This window comes from Homo sapiens, chromosome 10 (genome assembly GCF_000001405.40).
Source record: "Homo sapiens chromosome 10, GRCh38.p14 Primary Assembly".
NCBI lineage: Eukaryota > Metazoa > Chordata > Mammalia > Primates > Hominidae > Homo > Homo sapiens.
In genome coordinates, this window is record NC_000010.11 from 7859543 (window position 1) to 7884669 (window position 25127).

Below are 25127 nucleotides of genomic sequence, written 5' to 3' on the forward strand. Positions count from 1 at the left end.
TTCACCTCCTCCATTCCTACCTCATGTCTTTGCTGTTGATAAAGAACCTTAGACGCCCTCCATTTGCCCTCCATTTGAGAATGAAGTGAGGGAACAGGATACGGTTCATCTGCCCATTGTGTTGTATTCCACTTTTCCGCCGGGGCATTATGGCTGCACTTTATTTTACTCATTTAGTTTGTTTTCTTCCTCTACTAGAATGTAATCCATGAGAAGAGATATTTTTGTCAATTTTATTCACTGTTTCATTCCTAGCACTTATAATGGTGTACAGTGCCTAGTAGGCACTTAGTAAATGTTGGACAAATGGCCGTTTCCCAGATAACTTATTATTTCATAATGATTATTACGCATCCTTGGTTCATGCCTCTCAATCCATCTCATCCTAAATATGGCTACTAATGGCAGTTACATATGTTGAAATTCACCTTTTGAAATTCTAGTTTGGCCAGGAGTGGTGGCTCATGCCTGTAATCCCAGCAGTTTGGGAGGCCAAGGTGGGCAGATTGCTTGAGCTCAGGAGTTCAAGACCAGTGTGGGCAACATGGCCAAACCCTGTCTCTACTAAAAAATACAAAAATTAGCTGGGTGTGATGGTGCATGCCTGTAGTCCCAGCTGCTTGGGAGGCTGAAGTGGGAGGATTGCTGAAGCCTGGGAGGCAGAGGTTGCAGTGAGCCAAGATCACACCACTGCACTTCAGCCTGGGTAGGTGACAGAGCCAGACCCTGTCTGGAAAAAAAAAAGAAGAAAAAAAAAAAGAAAAATTCAAGAAATGAATTATTAAGCGTTTGAAAATTAGTTTTTATAAATGGTTGGTATGATAGGAGCATATGATCTATGAGAGAATAAAGTTGTACCTTTGCCCCATCCCAATCACAGCCTCTTCTTTCCTCCAAAAGTAACCCCTACACTTTTAGTGCACACATTTTATATGTATTATTTTATGAGTGTATTTGTACATTTTATGGAATTATTTCGAGATACTTCCCCTCATGTACTACTTGGTTGTCCAGAGGTGTAGTTCATATAGAAAAAAACAAAAAAGATAAATGCTTGATTTCTTTTATACATTGTTTTCAACTTAACAGAATGACTCATTGTCACCTACAAAAGGTACCAATTAAATTTTTATATCATTCTGAACTTACTGATTTAAACATTTTTAGTGGGTTTTAATCCATCTCAATTATTGTCCATATTGGAGTCCAGTTGCCCAGTCTTTAGCTAACAGGAGCCTTTTCTTTCTTTCTTTCTTTCTTTCTTTTTTTTTTTTTGAAATAGAGTCTCGCTCTGTCACCCAGGCTGGAATGCAGTGGTGTGATCTCGGGTCGCTGCAACCTCTGCCTCCTGGGTTCAAGCAATTCTCTGCTTCAGCCTTCTGAGTAGCTGGGATTACAGGCACCCACCACCATGCCCAGCTAATTTTTTTTTTTTGTGAGACGGAGTCTTGCTGTGTCGCCTGGGCTGGAGTGCAGTGGCGCCATCTCGGCTCACTGCAAGCTCCGCCTCATGGGTTCATGCCATTCTCCTGCCTCAGCCTCCCAAGTAGCTGGGACTACAGGCACCTGCCACTATGCCCGGCTAATTTTTTTTTGTATGTTTAGTAGAGATTGGGTTTCACTGTGTTAGCCAGGGTGGTCTCGATCTCCTGACCTCGTGATCCGCCCGTCTTGGCCTCTGGAGTGCTGGGATTACAGGCGTGAGCCACCGCATCCGGCCCTGCACGGCTAATTTTTGTATTTTTAGTAGAGATGGGGTTTCACTATCTTGGCCAGGCTGGTCTTGAACTCCTGACCTTGTGATCCACCCACCTTGTCCTCCCAAAGTGCTGGGATTACAAGCATGAGCCACCGCACCCAGCCAACAGGAGCCTTTTCATCTTTGCATCTATTCCTTTTGACTAGATCCTAGTGATTGTTGATATAGGTTCCTTGTTATCTGATGGGACAAGTCAGGTTCATCTTGTATATGTCATGACTGAGACGTGAAATCAGCCATTTCTCAAAAAAGTCCATAAAAAATGATTATATAATTCTGTACTGATTTTTTTTTTCATTTTAGCACTTTACAGATATTTTTCCACCATCTCATAACCTCCATTGTTTCTGATAAGAAGTCAGACGTCATTTGTCTTACTGTTCCATGGATCTCATGTGCTGTTTTTCTGTTGCTGCTTTCAGGCCTTCCTGTTTATGTTTGGCTTTCACCAATTTAACTAGGATGTGCCTAGGTGTGGTTTTCTTTCTTTTTTTTTCTCAATGCTTGGGAGTTACTGAACTTCTTTAATGTGTATTTATGTCTTTTTCCAAACTGGAAAGTTTTTAGCTATTTATTTCTTTGAATATTTTTTCCCTATCATCTCCTTCTGAGACGCCAATTAAACTTGTGTTAGACCTTTTGATATTGTTCCATAGAGTCACTGATGTTCTGCTCATTTTTTTCAGTCTTTATTCTGTCCGTTCTTCCAATTTGATAATTTATGTTGATCTATTTTCAGGGTCACTGAGCTTTCTGCTACACATGCAGTTAAGTTTGAATTTCAGATATAATATTTTTCAGTTGTAGAGTTACCATCTGGTTTGTTTTTAGAGTTCCATTTCTCTCCTGAGATTGCCAGTGAATATATTTTCCTTTATGTTCTTGAACATAGTAATAATAGCTTCTTGGGCTCCTCTTAGTGATGGTCTCATTTGATTGCCTTTCTCTTCAGTATGGATCAAAGTTTTCTGTTTTTTCACATGTCTAATAATTTTGGATTATGTTCTTGACATTGTGAGTGTAGTTTGTAGAGAAGGTGGATTCTGCTGTTTTCCTGATGTTTGTTTTTTGTTTCAGCAGGAAGTTACCTTAGTTCAACTCAAACTCCAAGCTGTTTTTCCTATGATGGGCAGCAGCAGAAATCTCTTTAGGTTTTGATTTGTGTGTGTATATGTGTCTGTTTTCTGGACTATTATCTTTATTTTTTTCTACCTTAATTGAGGCATAATTTATGTTCAGTAAACTGTACATGTTTATAACATTTTTAAGTTTTGACATATGTATATACTTGTGAAAGCATTGTCACAGTCAAAATTATGAAGATATCCATCACCCTGAAAAGTTACCTTAAGCCTTTTGCAATCCATATCTCCTCTTCCCTCCTCCCCAGGGGGATCCCCAGGCAACCACTGACCTATTTACTGTCATTGTAGATTATTTTGCATTTTTCTAGAATTTTATATAAGTGAAATCATGGTATGTACTGTTTTTTGGTCTGGCCTTTTTTCACCAATATAATTATTTTGAGATTCATCCAAAATTCTGGATATTTTGCAAATATCCATAAGTTACTCCTTTTTATTGTTGAGTATTGTTCCATTACGTGTATATGCCACAATTTCTTTACCCATTCAGCTGTTAATTGACATTGGGATTTTTTACTGTCTTGGACTATTTCAAATAACGTTGATATGAACATTTATGCTTTCATTTATCTTGGATAAATACCCAGGAATGGAATGGCTGTGAACAATAAGCTATGCTTTATCTCTGACCTAGGAGTCTGATGTCTTCTGTGAAAATCCAGGAAACTGTGGTGGACTAACTTCTTGGAAGTAGGACAGCATTTCAGACCCTTTATGATTCTTGACACTGAGTTCTTTGCATTTTCATATAAAATTTCAAATCAATGTATCATCTACAAGAAAGACTGCAGGGTTTTGTACTGGGACTGCATGGAACCCATAGACCAATTTGGAGAGAGTTGAGATCTTCACAATATTGAATTTTCTGATTAAAGAATATAAGGCTGGGCATGACAGGTCACACCTGTAATCCCAGCACTTTGGGAGGTTGAGGCAGGCAGGTCACCTGAGTTCAGGAGTTTGAGATCAGCCTGGCCAGGATGGTGAAACCCCGTCTCTACTGAAAATACAAAATTAGCTGGGTGTGGTGGTGCACACCTGTTATCCCAGCTACTCAGGAGGCTAAGGAAGGAGAATAGCTTGAACCTCAGAGGCGGAGGTTGCAGCGAGCTGAGATCGCCCCACTGCACTCCAGCCTGATGACCAGAGCAAAACTCTGTCTAAAAAAAAAAAAAAAAAAATATATATATATATATATATACACACACACATATATATATACACACATATATATATATACACACACATATATATATATACACATATATATATACACATATATATATACACATATATATATACACATATATATATACACACATGGCACATGTCTCCATTTTTTAAAGATCTTTAATTTTTCTCAGTGATGTTTTATAGTTTTCAGTGCATCTCTTATACATAATTTATAAACTTTATCCGTAAATATTTCATATTTTCAATGTTTTACATGGCATACATAGTTTTTTTCTTTAACAATAGACTTAATATTTTTAAGAACAGTTTTAGATTCATAGCAAAATTGAGCAGAAAGTACAGAGTTCCTAAATTCATCCTGCTCCTTCATCCCCTTATCCTTCCCCACTGTCAGTATCCTAAGCCAGTGTGGTAGGTACACTGATGAACCTGCCTTGACACATTATTATTACCAGAGTCTGTAGTTTTCCTTAGGTTCACTCTTGGTGTTGTACATTCTCTGTGTTTTGACAAATGTGTAATGACAAATACCTGCCATTATAACATCATACAGAGTAGTTTCACTGCCTTAGAATTTTTCTGTGTTCTACCTATTCTTCCCTCCCTTACCCCAACCTGTGGCAACTACTGATCATTTTATTGTCTCCATAGTTTTACTTTTTTCAGAAATTAATTGACAGATATCATCATTATATGTTATTACTGTGTACAACATGGCATTTTGAAGTATATAGGCACTGTGGAATGGTTAACTCTAACAAATGCATTGTGTCACATAGTTAACTCTTTGTGGTAAGGGCACTTAACATCCACTCTCTACATTTTAAAAAAATACTACAGTATATTATTCTTAACCGTAGTCACATTGCTATACAACAGATCTCTTGAAATGTGTTCCTCCTATCTAAGCGTAATAATGTGTCCTTCATGTACAGGTTTCTGTGTAGACTCGTGTTTTCATTTTTCTTGGGTAAATGTCCAGGAGTAGAATGGTGGGGTTATACGGCTTGTTTGTCTTTTTATTATTCAGCTGTGAAAGTTCTTTACCTATCCTGGTCATCAGTTTTTTATCATCTATTTGTTTTCCAAATATTTCCTCTCAGCCTGTGGTTTGCTTTTTCATTTTATTAACATTATCTTTCAAGAAGTAAATGTTTCAGTTTTAAGGAAATATAGTTTATCTTTTTTTTTTTCCTTTTTATGTTTTGTACTCTTTGTGCCCTAAGAAATCTTTGCCTAGCCTAAGATCACAAAGGTTTTTGTCCTGTGTTATCTTCTAGAAGTTTTATAGTTTTAGGTTTTGGGTGGCTGGGGTGGGTGGCTGGGAGAATGAATGTCAAAGGATCCCTGCACCATTTGTTGAATTCCATTGCTATGGGAGAAGCTTGGTAGAAATGCCGGTGGATTTGTGGATAGAGTGATGGGTTGAGGAGGGAGTCCTCACCAGTGGTGACTCATGGGAAGCTTCAGAGGGAAGTGAGTGGGGCCTGGGGGTCAGGAGCTTCAGGAGTGGAGAGGGCAGGGAATAGTGGTTCAGAAAGTAGGGGCCGGGCATGGTGGCTCATGCCTGTAATCCCAGCACTCTGGGAGGCCGAGGCGGGCGGATCATGAGGTCAGGAGATCAAGACCATCCTGGCTTACACAGTGAAACCCTGTAGAGACAGGGTTTCTACTAAAAAATACAAAAAATTAGCCAGGTATGGTGGCGGGCGCCTGTAGTCCCAGCTACTCGGGAGGCTGAGGCAGGAGAATGGTGTGAACCCGGGAGGCGGAGCTTGCAGTGAGCCGAGATCGCGCCTCTGCACTCCAGCCTGGGGGACAGAGTGAGACTCCGTCTCAAACAAACAAACAAACAAACAAACAAAGAAACAAACAGAAAGTAGGGGAGCAAGCTGCCTAGAAACCTTGGTGCGTGCTGAGCTGTGTGGGGCCTCCCTGGAGGTGGGCGTAGTAACAGGCCTGCGTGTCGCTGGCTTTAGCAGCCCCGGCAGGGTGGATGCAGCCACGTGCAAAGTAGCAACTAGGTTCATTCTTAGAGTTAGGCTTTCACAGGCAGGGGTGAAGGAAAAATAGAAAGTTGCTTAGTAAATGTGCTTCTCTTGAATGGACAGTACTTGAGCTGAGGTCAAACCTCGAACAGCAGCAGAGGATAGACACTGACAAGGACTCTCCCGTCACCTCCCCTATCCATTTCCTTCCTTTCTGCTCCTTCTAGCTGCTCCGTTTTATGTCTCTTGCATCTTGTCAGCGTTGATTTATGCAGAGAAAAGCAACTATGACCATACTTCATCCTCCCCATCGTGTGTAACAGACTGGAGCATGTGGTGCACCATGTTCGGCACCTTGACTTTCGTTTTACCCAATAGCATATCCTGTAGCTCTTTCCTGTTGGTGGGAAAGAATATTTGAGAGTCATCTTAGTGATGGATAAAGGAAACACTTAATAGCAGTTTTTTCTGGATCGTAAAGTAATTTCTGAAACTCTCCTGTGTTTTCTAAGTTCCTCCAGTATGCATATGTTCCTTTTATCATTAGCAAATGGAATGAAATTCCCTTCTTTCAGCACATGTCCACTCTGTGCCGTCACTCTTCCAGGCACGGGGGATGGAGCAGTCAATAAATAGGCAGGCTCTGCTTCCATGGTGCTCGCATTCTCATGTGGGCTAATCATCCAAATAAGAAGATGAGAGATGAGGCTGAGTGCAATGCACAAGAGAATGAACGTAGGGGCCTGTGATGGTGGCTGACCACGGAATTTCAGGGCAGGCCTTCTCTGAGAAGGGAGCACTTAAGCTGATAGCTCAGTGATGAGAGCCAGTCATCGTGACCAGCAAAGAAGAGTGTGCTAGACAGAGAAGAGTGAGCGCAAAACCTCTGAAGTGAGAGTCAACTTGATGTTTTCAAGAAACAGCAATAAGGCCAACATGCCTAGAATCTACTGAGGGAGCGTGGCGTAAGATGAAGCAGAGGTCAGTGCTTATCTGGTAATCAGGGAGAAGAATGAGGATTTTGTTTTAACTGCAATGGGAAACCATTGAAGAGTTTTAAGTTATTAGAAAGGAGAGCTATAGAAAAAGCCAAAGTTGCCAGGTGGAAAAAGACCCTAGAAAGCCCAATTAGAGGCGAGTGTTAGGAAAACCCTGCAGTGTTGGACGCATCAGGTTAAATAAAGCTTAGGTTGAAAACAAAGAGAAGTGGTTTATTAATTTGTTTTTATGGTGCGCTCTAAAAAGTAATCTCCCTGAAATGGGAACTCCAAATTTAAAAGATAAATTTTAGATCAATGTGCAATTTAAATTCCAAACTGAGGAAAGCAGTTTTTAAAGATATGATTTCGGCTGGGCGTGGTGGCTCACACCTGGAATTCTAGCACTTTGGGAGGCCGAGGCAGGCGGATCACCTGAGGTCAGGAGTCTGAGACGAGCCTGGTGAACATGGCGAAACCCCATCTGCACTAAAAATACAAAAATTAGCCAGGCATGGTGGCATGCCCCTGTCATCCCAGCTACTCAGGAGGCTGAGGCAGGAGAATTGCTTGAACCCAGGAGGCAGAAGTTGCAGTGAGCCGAGATCATGTCACTGCACTCCAGCCTGGGCAACAGAGTGAGACTGTCACACACACACACACACAAAAAACAAAAAACAAAAACCACCAAAAAAAGATGTGATTTTTAAGTATGCATTTTAAAATTATTTTGTATTTTAGAGGAAGAAATTAGTATTTAGTCATTTGTTTCTTCTAGAATTTTAATGCTGATGCTGAGATTTTAGGAAACCTAGTGTTTAAATTACAGCTCGCAAATATTTCCTGATTCATTTAAAAATTACACCCTGGCTCTGAAATTAGCCCATTTGTGTTTGTTTTGCCTTTAGGAGATCCACAGTGTAGTTCTGGAGGGTGTGTAGAATATAAGGAAGGGGCACCCTCATTCTGTCTGATGTCTGAATATGGAGGAGACAGGTACTCACTCATCCTGTATGGTATTTCAATATTGTGGAGACAGGATGGCTACTGGCAGTTTTTGATAAGGAGGATAGTTTGCGCAGCTTTGAATAGGAAGCAAGATTAATGTCTTTGTTAGCCAAAATGAACAGTTAGATTTTTATTACAAAGTTGACCCTTGAACAATATGGGAGTTGGGGGCACAGACCCCTGTGCAGAAATTCATGTGTAACTTTTGACTCCCCCAAAACTTTACTAATAGCTTACTGTTGACTGTAAGCCTTACCAATAATGTAAACGGTCGATTAACACGTATTTCGTATATTATATGTACTATGTACTGTATTCTTACAATAAATTAAGTTAGAGAAAAGAAAATATTATTAAGAAAATCATAAGGAAGAGAAAATGTATTTCCTGGTCATTGAGTGGAAGTGGGTCACCATAAAGTTGTTGATCCTTGTCATCTTCATGTTGAGTAGGCTGGTTGGGGGGTTGGTCTTGCTGTCTCAGGGGTGGCAGAGGTGGGAGAAAATCCACATATAAGGGGGCATGTGTAGTTCAAAGCCATGTTGTTCAAGGGTCAACTGTATTGTTTGACAAGCGAGATGTTCTGAAATAAGAATAATAGAAAGTCATCATCCAACAAAAGTAATGACAAGAAGAAGAACAAGAACAGCAAGCTCTGGTGACCATTCAGGAGTGGAGGCAGTGTGACATAGTGGTCCAGCTCTGGTGATTCAGGAGTGGAGGCAGTGTGACATAGTGTCAAGCTCTAGTAACCATTCAGGAGTGGAGGTGGTGTGACATTAGCGGTCAAGTCTAGTGACCATCAGGAGTGGAGGCAGTGTGACATAGCAGCCAAGCTCTAGTGACCATCAGGAGTGGAGGTGGTGTGACATAGCGGCCAAGTTCTAGTGACCATCAGGAGTGGAGGCAGTGTGACATAGTGGCTAATCCATGTGCCTTGTAGGCACACAATCTTGGATTCACATCCTGGAGCAGCCTGTTAGTAGCCATGTTCTATTGGGTGGGTTACTTAAACATTCCAAATCTCATTTCCTCTTATGGAAAATATAGATCATAAATAGTACCCACATAACAGGGTAGTAGTGAAGATGAAGTGATCATCTATATAAAGATCCTAGTGCCATGTCTTTTGGCACCTAGAAAGTACCAAGTAAACAAGAACAGTAATACATTTAATATAATAATTATGATTTTGTTATCTGTTTTACTTATAAGGCAAGTATTCACATCACCATTTTTCAGATGAAAAACATACTTAGAGAACTCTAAATTTCCTAAGATCACAGAGCTAGGAAATGCAGTGGCAGGGTTTAAACTTATGAAGGTCTGACTCCAGAATTTATGCTTTTAATCATAACTCCATATTTTTTTCTAGCAAGGTCCTTCCAAGATTGGATCATTGGATTCATAATTAATTCAGAGTGTAAAACAATACATCGTAGAACAATTCCCTATTTTGCTTGTTAATCTAAAGATTTCACATTATATTCTACTTATTTTAAAAATAAAAAATATTCTAGAAGATAGTAACTTTAGAAAAATTTTAAAATGTAGATAAAAAATGTTTACAGATAAGATAAAAGAAAGATGTCACATATAATCCCATGAAGAATAATCCTTCCTGACTTCTACCGTGTGTGTGTGTGTCTGTGTGTGTGTGTCTGTGTGTGTGTGGAGTGGAGGCAGGAGTGTAGAGACGCACACACACATACACACACATAAATACATACGTACATAGATGTTGATTTCTTTTTCCAAAATGAGATCACACCATATATTCTGTGCTCTGATTTGGGTTTTCTCCCCAGCTTATTTTATTGTGAAGGTCTTTCCATGTCTGTTAACTTATCCTCATGGGAGCATAGTGTTGCATTACCTGTGTGTGCCATCATGAATTTACATAGTTCCCTGTTGTGACATTTAGATTGTGTAGAATTTTTCACTATTTTAACAGTGCTTTTATTAACATTCTTAATCACACACATCCATTTGCGTTTTCTCATAATTTCCTTAAGAGAAATTCCTGGAAGAACTGCTGTGTTGATTGTCACCTTTTTAAGCTTTTGATACATATTTCAGTTGCCCTCCAGAAAGGCTGTCCCAGCATGCACCCCTGCAGCAGCACGGACTGCCTCCTTCCCTGTGCCTGCATCTGCAGTGCATATTATCCTTTTTGATCTTTGGCAGACTGGTGAAAAATAGTTCTGTCTTGCATGCCTTTGATTACCAATGAATATATTTATGTTTATAAACTATTTGTACTTTTTCCATTATAAATTGCTCTTTAAAAATTCTTTGCCTCTTTTATCACGCCTGACCCCTGGGTTTTGGTTGGCCCAGAGATTACTGAACTACTTTCGACCCCAAGTTTTGCATATTTAAATTTATTTTTAGGGATTTCAGGTGAGCATCTTTAAAAAAATTAGATAATTAGGAGAAATGAAAACGGCTTGTATTAGTATACAAATAGTAATGTAGGTATTGGCATAAAACAAAACTTGCTTTAAGGACTCGCTCTAAAGACATGTCTTTCCCATTACATTACTGAATAGAGGTTTAACTTTGAACTCATTCTTATGAGTAGGGAATCATAAAACTCTGATCCCAAGTCCATCATTCCTTCTTCTTTGAGCATGAAATTCTCATCAGTCATTGGTTGTACTTTGGAACTACTGTATATTAGAAACCAATTCTCACTTTTCCGGGAGTATATTGTTTAAAAAACAAATTCAGATCCATCAGGATATGTTCTCTCCATTTTTACTTATAGTTAATTCTCTGCTGCTTTCCTAATTACTTTTGTTTCTTTTCTTCCAGTGGTCGGTTAGAATATAATTTATTTACGTGAGTGTTGCCTGATGGAAGATACTTTCTGGTGGTTCATTATAAAATACATTTTTTAATGTAAACTTCATTTTTCTATTGATTTCCATTGTACAATTGGAAACTGTAACTGTTAGTGAAAAATGGCGGTCTGTTGTTGAAGAGTTAGGATGGTAACTTGTTAAACTTCTACAGACTCCTGACTTGAGTTTTTAGGCCTTAACGAGCGGCAGAACTCGACACGCTTCTGAGTTCGCCTTCCTTCACTTCTTCTCTAAGTCCTTTCCTTGAGTGTCTTAACACTCATGCCTGCCCCCACTTAACATTTTTCCCTGACAGTCTCCTGCTGGGGCCATTTTGTTCTTGATCCCTTCTTCTGCCCTGCCACCCCCACTCCATATTTAAGATGCTAAAAGAATGTATTCTAAGCCTTACCTTTCTTGAAGCTCAGAGTTTCTTGTAATATGAAAAAAAATTGTTTCCTATAAAGCTATTAAGTTCTTATATTGCTTTCAGAAGTATAATTTTCATGACTTAGATTGTATGTATCTGTGATAGAAATTATTTTTGTATAAGGAAAGACAACGGAAAATTTTTAGTCTAGACATAACAGTTTATTTTTGCTAGAAATTAAAAATAGTAATACACTGTAGTCAGTCGTTTAATATACTTGTTCTTAAACTTTATTAGTTCACTTAAAAGTTTCCTATCATACAATATAAAATTCAAAGATTTTAAAATACATGTAGCTGGAAGTCTTGTTATTTCTTGTAAATCAGACTTGCATATGTGGTAGAATTTCTACTTCAAACAAAGGAAATATTAGTAATGATGGCTATTTCATTATTGAGATCTGTGTGCTAAGCATATATTAATTGTTCCTAAAACCAGATATTCTTACAGAAATATTTATTGGATTAAAGAAATATTTACTGGTTAAAATAAATAAATTGATAGTAAATTTTCTCTGAATCTAAATTGATGACAAATAACTGCTGCTTTTTTTTTTTTTTTTTTTTTTTTTGAGACGGAGTTTTGCTCTTGTTGCCCAGGCTAGAGTGCAATGGTGTGATCTCTGCTCATTGCAATCTCCGCCTCCCAGGTTCAAGTGATTCTGCTGCCTCAGCCTCACAAGTAGCTGGGATTATAGGCATGTGCCACCATGCCTGGCTAATTTTTGTATTTTTAGTAGAGACAGGTTTTCTCCATATTGGTCAGGCTGGTCTTGAACTCCCAACCTCAGGTGATCTGCCCACCTCAGCCTCCCAAAGTGCTGGAATTACAGGCGGGAGCCACCGCGCCAGGCCAACGATTGCTATTTTGACATGACATTATATGCATGACAGCCTGAGAAGTAAAAATTCATACATTTAATGAATTAGATTTTAATTTCTTTTACTAAATATGTGAATTTTAGATTAAGAAATATTGATTAACTATCCAAATATTTCTAATATTTGTTCATCACTTAAAATAAACATGATTTGTCTTTTAGCCAGATGATATATAGTGGGAAACCACGTTTCTGAAATTCACAGTTATTTCAAAACTATAAATTTAATCGGGACGCTTTTCACATGTCAAGTTAAATATTGATTTAGGTTTAAAGTGACACAAGTTGAATTTCATTATTTATATTAAAGAAAGTCAGCGAAATTTCCATAATTAAAGTTTGTTCTTCCTGGCATTCTTTTCTAATTTTTCTTTTTTTAACCTGCAAAGTTTCCAGTTTACCAGTAGAGGGCACTGTTGTAACATGGTAGAAGTGTTGGGTTGATTTTTTTTTTTTTTTTTTTTCTTTCTTTCCCAGTAGCTACCCGCTCCTCCGCCTTTGCAGTTTGGAAAGTGTTTTTTAAAAGCAATGTTCTCTGTGTAATTAAAATCAGTTCCCTGTATAATTAGCAATGGAGCCTTATTCTTTGTGGCAGAGTTTGTGGATGGCGTTATTATTTAAGTCTGTGTTCGTGTATAGCCAATGCCAGAACTGTTGCCTATTAAAATATAGGAAGTTATATTGCCGTTTATCAGCACTAAGCAATATTGTAGATGGAAATATATAAAATTACAGTATGTTTCATTTAGGTGCTCTGAGCAAATTACTCAATGGGGAACGTTTAAAACTCCTGGTTCTATCTTGAGAAATAGCAGAGTTAATGTGCCATAGTTATAATATCTTGCTTTCAGGTGCCCTGAATAATAATACAGGACAACTAATTCTTGCAGGGTTTTCAAAACTATATCTGCATTAGTGTACTGCTTAAGAAAGCCACTGATCTACTTAGCAAATTCTTTATATAATTTCTTTTTCACGCTGCCTTAAAATCATACAATTTTGATACAGATATCAAACTACTAAAATAGTATTAAAGCACAATTAAAGTTATTTCTTTCTTTCTTAAAAGACATATATGTTATATAAAATAACATTAAATGTGCATTCATTGCCTGGCTGCCTTGGGAAATATTTGGGGGCAGGGAGTTTAGAGAGAATCCAAGCCTGAATTTTGAGTTGTCAGAGGTGTAATTCATGAAGTTATAATTTATCCATAAATCCCAAAGTCTCTATAAGTAGTTTAAAAACAAACAGAAATCTTATTTCAAGACTAAATTATAGATTATTTGCTATACAATTTTTTGGAACTGAAAAAATTAAAAGTAATAATTTAATATGTTTATAATTAATTTCATTCTGTGCTTTAATATTTGTAAAATATTTGAGAATCTGGAATCTTAGGGTTTTTAAATCTTTAATCGATAGCCATATCAAATTAGGGAATTAGTATTTTCTTCAAGATTTTTTTTTTCTAACTTTATGAAATACTCTAGCTAAAAAGTTGGCTCTGTTGAAATTGTGTTTCTCTCTAACAGACCTATTTTAAAAGGTGGAAAACGGCTTTCATTGACTTACTTTGTATCCACAGACTTAGGAAAGCAGGTAATTTAATGTTTACTTAGTGATTTACTTTGACAATAAAAATGTAGGGTAAAATTTGAGAGATGAACGAGATGGTTGAGGAACCTGTCATGTAATTTTAGAAAAACATTTAGGAATATCTTTTATGCATTAGTCACTGCAGGTGCAAATTTAGAATAGTTTAGTAGAACTGGAACAAAATGTCATTTTCTAAATCTAAGTTTCTTTGGTGTTATGGATGTCCCCAAGGGAAGACATCCGAGTTCTCCCCCCCCCCCCGTCAAAAGGGGGTGTCGAATTTGAGGGGAGTCCCCCACTCCCTTGTCCTTAGGGTACGTCATAAAGCAGATGGGACCAGGTATTTTGAAGAATCAGCCAAATAACAGAAGGACATGACAGAGGCTGTCCTAGTTCCTTGATTAAAATGTGTAAGGTTGATTAGAGAAAAGAACTTAATGCTGTTTATAGATAGAAAACTGTTGCTTTCTCATTTCTTATTACCAAAGTGAGACTGAAACAAATGTTGATTCTGTTGGCACATTTGTATTGAGCACTTAGGTTCCCTGTATCATCTTGGTCATGATTACCGCTGTGTTTCCCCTCGAGAGGCCATTGCAGGTTTTAGTCTGGGCTATTTGTATTCAGCAAGGTCAAGATAAGTTTTATCGTTACAGATAAGTCAAGTGCATTAGGATCAATAGGTAATAGTAAGTGCATTGAAGATATTATTGCCAAGCTCTTAATGATTTTTTAAAGCTGTGAGCTTGTCATATAAAATATACCTCTTATTGTTTTATCTATCTGAATGGAGCTCAGGAGTCCAATTAATTTTGCGGACATTTCAAGAAAGAGTAAAGAAACTTAAGGGCAGATTAAAGCAATGTTTTTGGAAATCCTTAATTGCTCTGCATTTAAACTTGTACTGATGAAGTTTTAGAGGCTAATTATTTTTAAAGAAATGCAAAAGGACAGCTAGTAGACAGCATTTATAAATTACAAATATTACTTGAGTTTACTTGTTAAGACAATCATTTTTTGAAGTTATATATATCTTACCCCTGGGCTTTCCTGCATAAATCAGATTTCTGCTTCTTCAGGTGGGGAATAGTGTGGAAAAAAAGACCTTTTATACTTACCAAGGGATGATGGTGAGTATTTCATTATTTTAGAATTTCTGTTCTGGCCTAAATATATAAATAAGCTCTATAAGCTCTATATATTTAAAGCCAAAAATATCCTAAACATTTTCATGATTTTTTTTCTTTTTTACTGAAAGGAATAGTTTTTATGGATTATATTAATTAATATATTAAAAATATGGACTCTAACAGATATGTTTTGTCTTAGTTTTTTTTTTCAGTTAATTTTCTGTGGCCCAAAACATGACCACAACATTAGGTGAAATGTAGATTGCATTTCTTTTCTTTTCTAGGTGCAGATTACATGGAAAACTTTTTTCATCGATTTCTTAGCTGTATGTATCATGTAACTGTTCAAAACACATAAACTAAAGAAATTATGTATTGAGCTCGGGTTTTTTTCCTTCTTCAGTACAGCCATTTTAAAAAATCCTTTCTAAACTTTTTAGACTTCTAGTTTGGAATGTTGTGGTGCCTGCTTGCATTTGTGCTTCTTAATCCTTCAAAATGTGCTGTTTTTCTTTTGATACTCAATTATAGATAGCAGTTTGTAGGTTTTCCTTGTTTTAAGTGAAGCTTTCTTATCTTAGCTGATAATTGAAATAAGGAGACTGAAACCAATCTTCATATTGATTTTATGTATTCTTTATCAGTCACTATTTATATGGTAGTAAATAATCACCATTGCTGTCATAATTGTTCCTCCTCGATATTTTTTTTCTGTCTCCATACATTGTTTATTTATTTAACCATTTAAGTTGCAGGTAATATAAGCATGTGACATCCTTTCTGGAAATTGTAAACTTTTTTTTTAAAGTCCTATAAATGACGTTCTTTGAGCCTTTGGCTTATTAATCTTTATAATATTGGTCTACATTTCCACCTACTTAGCCATTTCTCTTTCTGGCTGAATAGTGATAATTTTTCCTCAACATTAGGTCAATTTATTTTATTGCTGGATTAGATTGATTGTGTTATAAGAAAGAGAAAACCAAGAGGTACAGAAGGATGTGTGGAAACCTCCACTGAAAACGGATGCTGTCCTTCCAGAGCCAGCGGGCACGAAGGGGTTGTTGGCCTCCAGTTGAAAAGTAGCATGAAAGAGAAGTTGACTGCCTCTTTTCAAAAGTTATCTTTGTGTGGTGGTCCTAATGCAATATTAAGAAAATTAGAGCTTTAAAAACCAGAACAATGGTCCTTTTAAAATATATCTAGTTTAGTGAATTTACCCCCCAAAGCCTCTGGTGTCTAATTACTCAAAAAGGAAAAGAAAGAGGAGAAATCTTTACTAGCAGAAAAATAAATTGCAAAAAGTGGCAAGTTTTTACTTTTATGGAAAACATTTTAATTCTGTTTTAATCCAGAAGGCAATAAAAGCAGCAAATTTTAAGAGTATTCATTTTTTTCTTGTACGACTAATTTTACCGACAGAAAATAATTGAACTCCAAACAAGTGATAGTAATCTTATATTACTATTAAACTTTTATTTTATTTATTTTTCTCTTTAAGTTTTTTTATCATACTATTAAACTTTTAAATTTATATTTATAAAAAGGAAGTTTGTTTTCCTCCTTTTTACTTATAATTTATCTTGTCTGTATAATAAAGGGAGACGCTTAATGACCAAAAGAACAAATCTGTACATAGATAAATTAATTTTGTGCGGTGTTTTATATTTTTCTTTTCTTTGTTCCCAAATAGTGATGAAATCGACTATTTTAGTAAGAGAAAGACTGGATTATTGTTTAGGGTTAATTTTCTGAAATATTGTGAAGCAGTTTTTAAATTTAACAAGATTAATTATTACCTGAAAGCAATACTTTAGCTTCACATTTAGAGGTCCTCGTATTTCAGACTGTGGGCCTGGTTTTCTCTAAAATTAATTAGGAACCCTTGTAAAGAGGTATTTTCAATGAAATGGGCCATAAGCAGGTATTTTAAAGTACATATTGTTTTCTAAAAGTTTTCTTGTTGGTTTTATAAGAATCGAATATGAAAGAACAACTTATTTATTGTAGCAGGAGTTCCTGTAATGCTGTTTTTGGAAATGAGTTTATTGTCCACATAGGAGAAAGAGGAGAGAGGCAGTCTTACCTATTCCTGTAGGTGAGCACCGTATACAGAATCACGGGGGTCAGTGGTTATGTGACAGTTTGTGTGTTTACTCAGCTTACTTGAAAATACAGCTATATTGTCCTAAAAGTCAGGAAAGTTCTTTGACTTAATTATCTTTATCTTTGGAGCATAGCCAAAGTCATTATTTCCACTGAAGTTGTCATCTGTGCTTTACATTTTCTTCCATCTATTAAAACTATTTTTCCTCTTCCCCCAGCAGATTGTTGAAACTTTGGGAAGTGCATGATTCTTCCTCCAGACTCTTTTCTTGTACTAGAAATAGGACAGTGCCAGACCTATCACTTGTACTTTGATTTGCTGCCTTTATCTTTAGCAAATCTAAATAAAACTGTCATCCTGATTTTCAGATCTCTCTTTGAACTTCCTTTACTCAAATTGCCCACTTTCCTATCTGCTCACTACTTTTTTTTTTTTTCCTAATGGAGATTCCACGTCTGAGGTTTATTTTTTACGCTGTTACTGTCCTTTCTTGGATTTTTAAAATACTTTTTACTTTATAACTTATCTGTTACTTCCTTTTGGTAAACACAAATTTAGGTGATAATTACTTAGCTTAAGTGAGAAAATTGTCAGTCTCCATGAGTCTTTAGAAATAATTTATACTGATTTCATAATTTCTAAAAAGCTACCTGACTTTGTGACTTTGGGGATCATCATTAAGGACTGAGGTGGCAAGAATGGTGGTATGGAAATCTGGGAGGTTTTTCTTCTTTCATATTTGAGTGTATTTCACATAATAATTTCTCAATATTTTACAAACTGTGTAAAATAAGTAGATACATTTCTTAGCCCAGAATAGCCCACAAATATTTAATGAAAGTTGGAATTTCTTGTTCAGTTCTTTAAGACACATAGAAAAAATTGTCATAGAAAGCACCTTGTTATTTAATTCCTAAATATTTAGAATATGAATAAGAATGTAATGAGAATATGGCATTTATTGTTAGAATTTTCCAATATTGCTTTGATATAATGAATAATATAAATGCTTTCCCTTTATCATTATCTTGTAGTAAGAGAATTTAAGAATTTTAGAGGTAAAGTGCCCTCTGAGATTACAACCCTACTATTTAAAAAATAAGACAACTGAGACCCATTGTGATGAAGTGACTTGGCCAAGATCTTAAAAGCTCATTAGTGACAGACATATAGAGTGAGGTTTCTTGGTTCTTACTCCATTTTTTTTAACCACATGCTCAATTCTGTGTCCCTCTCTCTCCTTCTAGTACCGTTTATACACCGTGTGTGTTATTTTGAGAAGGGACTAGTTAATTTCTATACTGTAACGGCAATTCAGATCTCAAATACATTGGAGCTAATGTTTCTGTCACCTTACCTGTCACAGTGTCCTTTGAGTAGACGCGTACTTTGCAACTTGGCATTTATTCAGTAAACATTTTTTTTAAGTATGTACCATGTGCCTCTGGCGTGCAAAATAATAGGGAACGGGTATTATGCATCTGACCTTCCTGTGTTATTAATTCTAAAACATGATTTTTAAAACAATACATTTAATCATATAGATGTACCCAGGAGCAGATCCTGATTTTGTGAGGCCTAAAGCTTGTACAATTTTGGGAGCCTTTTTAAAGAAAGTAATATAAAATAGCAAATGCAAAAGCAGATTCAAAGGCCTGTCAGTAGTAGACTGGGTAAATAGATTGTGAAATATTATATAGCAATGAATAAAAGGCTCTCCAACTGCACACAGTGTGAAAAACATCTCTCCTCCATTGAATTGAGTGAAAGAATCCAGGCCCTCAGAGCACTTCTGCTCTTAGAAGACTGGCTGTGGTTGCCTTGGAGTATTGGGCCTGAGGAGGGAGGGGTGACGGGAGGAGTAAGGGTACAGGTGATGTTCTCTGTCTTGATCTGAGTGTGTTCAGCTTGTGGAAAGTCATCAGGCCACACACTTAGGGTATATTAACTTTGTATGTGTTTATTATACTTTAACAAGGGTATTTAAATCAGCTATATTGGAAGGGAGTCCTGTAAGTGAGAAACCCAGAGGCCACTAGCTTATAGGAAATTCCCTCTCTAGATGCACTATAATTAATTCAACCAATGTATGTATGTATGTATGTATGTATGTATGTATGTATGTATGTATGTATGTATATGAGACAGAGTCTTGCTCTGTTGCTCAGGCTGGAGTGGAGCGGCATGATTGGGGCTCACTGCAACCTTTGCCTCTGGATTCAAGTGATTATCCTGTCTCAGCCTCCTAAGTAGCTGGGACCACAGGCACACACCACCACACCCAGCTAACTTTTGTATTTTTAGTAGAGACAGGGTTTCCCTATGTTGGCCAGGCTGGTCCGGAACTCCTGACCTCAAGCAATCCGCTCACCTCAGCTTCCCAAAATGCTGGGATTACAGGCATAAGTCACCGCGCCTGGCAAATTCAACCAATTTAGTGTTACTACACATTTAGGCTCTTTCCAATACAGATATCTTTTTGAAGCTAAGAGTTTAAAAATTTATAATTTTATGAAATGTTTAATATGGCCATGTTTAGAGGTTTTTTTGAAGTGTTATTTTAAAATAGTAGATTAATAAGACATTTATATGTTCTATTTGCCCTTTTTATTTTGAGAGATTATACCTTTGTCATAAAATTACTTTCACCAATTATAGTTAAACTGTATGGTAGATTATTAATTACAAACTTACCTATGAAAGATTTTTGGAACTGTACACTATTAATGAAACGTAACTATGGTTTCAGTTGGTAACATACTCATGCATAATTGATTATATATTTTATCTCATAAGGTTTTGAGTCAGAACTATTTTTATTATACATGAAATGAAATAATGACACCCACCCTCATCTTTGTACAAGATTAAAAGGAACAACAGTGAACTGTCTTATTTGGAAAATGACATGGCATTATTTTAGAAAACATTTAGAAATTTATTATACTAATAAGCCCTAATATGGACTCCTGAAATACAAAGTGTAAACACCGGCTCTTTTTGTAAGACAATTCAGACAGCATAGAAATGACGGGAGATGGTTTTTAGGATATTTAGTATTTCTTCTCTACCTATTGGGTAACTCACTTTATTCATCTGATGGGCCATAGTTATTTACCTTTCTGGATTTATGGGTGGCTTTTAAAATATTGTTTTGATTTTGGCCTTGTTTCTTAGTCTTGTAGACTTGTATCATTAAAAATAATGATGCAATTAAATAAAATACATATTTGGATTTTTAACATTCAGTATTCAAATTCCAAGTATGTATTTTATTTCCTAGTTTGGGAGAAACAAGACCTAGTAAATGAAATAAAACCTGGCTGGGCACGATGGGTCACAACAGTAATCCTGGCAACTCTGGGAGTCTGCAGCAAGAGGAGCACTTGAGCCCAGAAGTTTGAGACCAGCTTGGGCATATGGCAGAACCCTGTCTCTACAAAAAATAGAACAAATTAGCTGGCCACCCCAAAAATATAACAAATTAGCTGGCCTTGGTGGCATGCACCTGTAATCTCAGCTACTCAGGAGGCTGAGGTGGGAGAATCACCTGAGCCCGGGAGTTCTAGGCTGCAGTGAGCTATGATCACTCACTGCTCTCCAGCCTGGGTGACAGAGTGAAACCTTGTCTCGGAAAAAATAAAAAATAAAACTCAAGTAACTTACTCCTTAGACTTTTTGGGGAAATAACTTTGATTTATCAGAGTGCCTTCATTTGACAGATTTTTGCACATCTGAAAACAAAAACTATTTTTGAATTAATATGATCACTTGTTATGAGATTTAATATATTAGGTGGTAGTCTGGAGGGAATTGGTGGATGTGAGAAATAAGAAATATGCAGCTATCCTGACTAGCACCCTGAGAAAACAGTGTGCCACAGTATTGAAGAGAAGTGAGCCACAGTTAAGTAACAGAAACCTGTATTGGAATTTTCTTAGACTACCCCACTCTCTGCCTGTATGATAGACATAATCCTGCTGACGTTGTTTCCTTTAAGGGCCATTTCTTATAAATGCATTTATATTCCTAGAATAAGCTACTCTACACAGTACATGTTGTATCTTTCCATGCCTTTAAGTCCCTCATCTAGGTGGATTTTTTTTTAGTAGTTTCTATTCTGACCACCAAGGTTATCAGATTCAACTCCTTACCTACTCATCACTAAGCCATTTACATTGTAATTTGGCAAAGATTAGTCTTGATGATGCGTGCAACAGATGTATATTTAAACGATATACCTACTAATATTACCATATCTAATTTTCTGCTAATCCAGCACATCTGTGTTTAGAGGAACAAACAGAAATAAGAGAGAAATGATTCACATTACAAAAGGATTCTCTTAGCCCAAGCATGGTGGCTCATGCCTGTAATCCCAGCACTTTGGGAGGCTGAAGCTGGAGGCTGATTTGAGCTCAGGAATTGGAGACCAGCCTGGGCACCATGGGGAAGCCCCGTCTCTACAAAAAATACAAAAATTAGCCAGGTGTGGTGGTGCATATCTGTAGTCCCAGCTACTTGGGAGGCTGAGGCAGGAGGATCACTTGAGTCCAGCAGGTCAAGATTGCAGTGAGCCATGAGTATAACTAACACTGCACTCCAGCCTGGGCTACAGAATGAGACCCTGTCTCAAAAAAAAAAAACAAAAAAAAAACCCACAAGCTCTTTTAATATACTGTTTTCCCACCATGTGTCGCAATACTTTACTGTATCTTGAGAATCTTCAGTTATATTTCAATATCCTAGGTTCCTAAACCTTAAGATATGCCTTTAATGCCGCCTCCAAGTCAGCAGTATACGAAAACTTCAAAATTCTCTTTAAAAGGACAATAGTTTAATCAAGTAAAAGACATTTGTCTCTCAGACACACACATACACACAAACACACACACACACACACACACACTAGATAGCAGGTTTAGTATAAAATTTAGCAATGAAGCTGGAACGTAATAAGTTTTTTATATCAAATAGGTATATGTTTTACAAATAAAAAGAGCAAGACACCTTCTATTTCTAGGGGGCCCCTTGAAATTTGATAGAGTAACAATCATGCATTTAGATGTAATGAAAAAATTGACCTAGAGGAAGCATGTTAGCATTCAGCTGGTAGAAGTGATGTGTAGCAGAAAGAGCTGTGACAGAAGAGCTTTCCAGCTTGAGTTCTCCTTCCAACTTTCAATTTCCTTTACTGTGTAACTTTGGAGGAGTTGCTTACCTTCTCTGTGCCCTAGTTAACGCATTAAAAAGAAAAGGATAACTGATTTTTGTGATTCTTGAGCAGAGATAATTTCACCAGAGACTTTATATGTTGGTGGACTTCCACACTGGCTGTTCTTGTAAATTCACCAGCGTGTCCTGGAATCAGTAATATAAGGAACTAGTAAGTGCAGTTAAACAGGTGTCGATTGGGCACCTACAGTGAGTTCAAAACTGAACTGAGCAGAGTTGATTTGTCTGTGAGTTTTCATGAACACAGCTATTTCCTATACTGATGCATTATAAATTGTACTGAATTATGGGAAAACAATTATAAATTTCAAGATGTTTTCTTATTCAAATTTTGGAAGGTTTTATCTAATCTGTGGCTTAGTGCAGAGATCATCTTATTGGAGACCGTCAAGCATCAATCTTAGCATGTTAGATTTGGAAGTTTTGGTCAATCTAACGTGTATTCCTCATTTACAACATGTTTGTGCAAGACATACATATACTTCACAGTCCTTGCCTCTGAGAAGTCAGTCTCTCAATAGGATCTTAGAGGTCATCCAGTCCATCTACCTCATTTTATAACAGAGGAAATAATTGTTACAGGGATGAGAAAAGGAATCTTCAGAAGTAAGAAATGAGAGGGAGAAGTTTGGTCGTTAAAAAAAAGAATGTGTTACAATTAAACCTAGGATGATGGAAAGCCCTTGAAAGGTTTTAGGGAAATAACATTGTAACCACAGGAAAAGACACGTAGGTTTATTGGATGAAAATTACTCAGGGGTATACTTGGACTCAACATAAGGAAGAATTCTCCAACAGTCAGTGTCTAAAGGTGGAGTGCTCCTATCAGAAGGCAGTGAGCAGTAAGATCACTCCCTCAATGAGCAAGCTTTGCAAAGTGATCACTTGATGAGGGTTTTGTAGAATGTAGTACGTAACCACTGGGGTAATACACCTGGGCTTTATTTTTTCCTTTGTAATAATTTCAGACTTACAGAAAAGATACAAGAATAGCACAAAGAATTCCTAAGTATTCTTTACGTAGATTCCCCAAATGCTAACACTTTACATCGTTTGCTTTTTCTGTGCTGTTTCTATGTAGATACATGTTATTTTTTGTTTCTGAACTGTTTGAAACTAAGTTGCAGACATCATGCTCCTTTGTCCTTAAATATTTCAGTGGGTACTTTCTAAAAGTGAGTGGCTTCTCATATGTAACAGAACAGTTATCAAAATAAGGAAATTAACATTGATACAATACTGTCATCCAATCCACAAGCTACACTGAGATTACATCAGTTGTCCCAGTGATACCCTCCGTAGCAAAAGGAAAGGACAGTTTGTCTGGTTGTGTTCAGTTAGGAGTCCCGTGGTGCATTCAGTCAGCCTTTCTCTTTAGTTCTTCAATCTAGAACAGTTCCTCAGCCTGTCTTTGCCTTTCATGACCTCACCACTTTGGAAGAGAACAAACTAGTTATTTTGTTAAATGTCTCTCCATTTGGGTTTGTCTGATATTCCTCATCAAATTCAGGGTGATTATTTTCATCAGAAATACCGTAGACGGTGGTGTGTTCTTCTAATGCCTCATGTGATGAGTCCTGTGATACTGATTTGATGGTAATTTTATTTGGCTAAAGTGGTGACTTCCAGATTTCTCCATTGTCAAGTTATTACTTTCTCCTTTGTCATTGATAGCTATCTGGTGGAGAGATACTTTGAGACTATGTAAATACTCTGTTTCTCATCAAACTTTTACCTACTAGTTTATCATCCATTGGTGATCTTTACTCATATTAATTATTCCTAATAGTTGCTGGATGGTAAATTTCTAATTCCATTCTTCCTTCTACATTTATCAGTTGGCATTCTACTCTATGGAAGATTTTCCCCTCCTTCCCACTTATTTATTCATGTATTGATATCCGCAGACACTTATTTTACTCAGTATATTATACTCTTAGTCCATTTTCTGTTGCTTAGAATACCTGGGTAATTTATAAAGAAAGGAATTTATCTCTTATGGTTATGGCAGTTGGGAAGTACAAGGTAGAGGGGCTACATCTAGTGAGAGCCTTCTTGCTGGCGGGGAGAGGGGACTCTCAGAGTCACCAGGCAACGCAGGGCATCACATGGCAAGGGGCTGAGCATGCTAACATGCTTGCCCAGGACCCTCGTCTTCTTAGAAAGCCACCAGTCCCACTCCCATGATAACCCATCCATCTGTGAGTGGATTAACCCAGTGACAGGAGCAGACCCCTCATGACCCAGTCACTTGTCAACTGCCCCGCCTCTCAATACTGCCACACTGGGGACTGGGTTTCGACATGAGTTTTGGAGGAGGCAAACATTCAAACCGTAGCATACTCCTTTACTGTTATTATTTATTTCACTGCTTCAGCTGTACCCGGTTTGGCCCCTGGGAGCCCCTCAAGCTCCCTCCTATGTCCTTAGGCATGTTGTCATTGTTCTTTGGACAGTCCCTTACTTTCTGGCCCAAGAAGATGATCTAGGCTCTTCTTGTACTTCCAGCTTTAGCCCTGGAAGCAGCCGTTTCTCCAAAGAGCTCTGCCTCCTTTTTTTTTTTGAGATGGAGTTTTGCTTTTGTTGCCCAGGTTGGAGTACAGTGGTGCCATCTCGGCTCACTGCAACCTCTGCCTCCTGGGTTCAGGCGATTCTCCTGTCTCAGCCTCCCGAGTAGCTAGGATTATAGGCGCCCGCCACCATGCCTGGCTAATTTTTGTATTTTTTAGTAGAGATGGGGTTTCATCGTGTTGGCCGGGCTGGTCTCAAACTCCTGACCTCAGGTGATCCACCTGCCTCGGCCTCCAAAAGTGCTGGGATTACAGGCGT

General features: G+C 37.4%; 1 protein-coding gene across 2 annotated transcripts in view; it reads left to right on the forward strand.

The window, feature by feature from the left end:
- The window catches only part of TAF3 (TATA-box binding protein associated factor 3), a 198127-nt gene that overhangs the window by 41038 nt on the left and 131962 nt on the right, over positions 1 to 25127 (forward strand). The window lies entirely within an intron of this gene.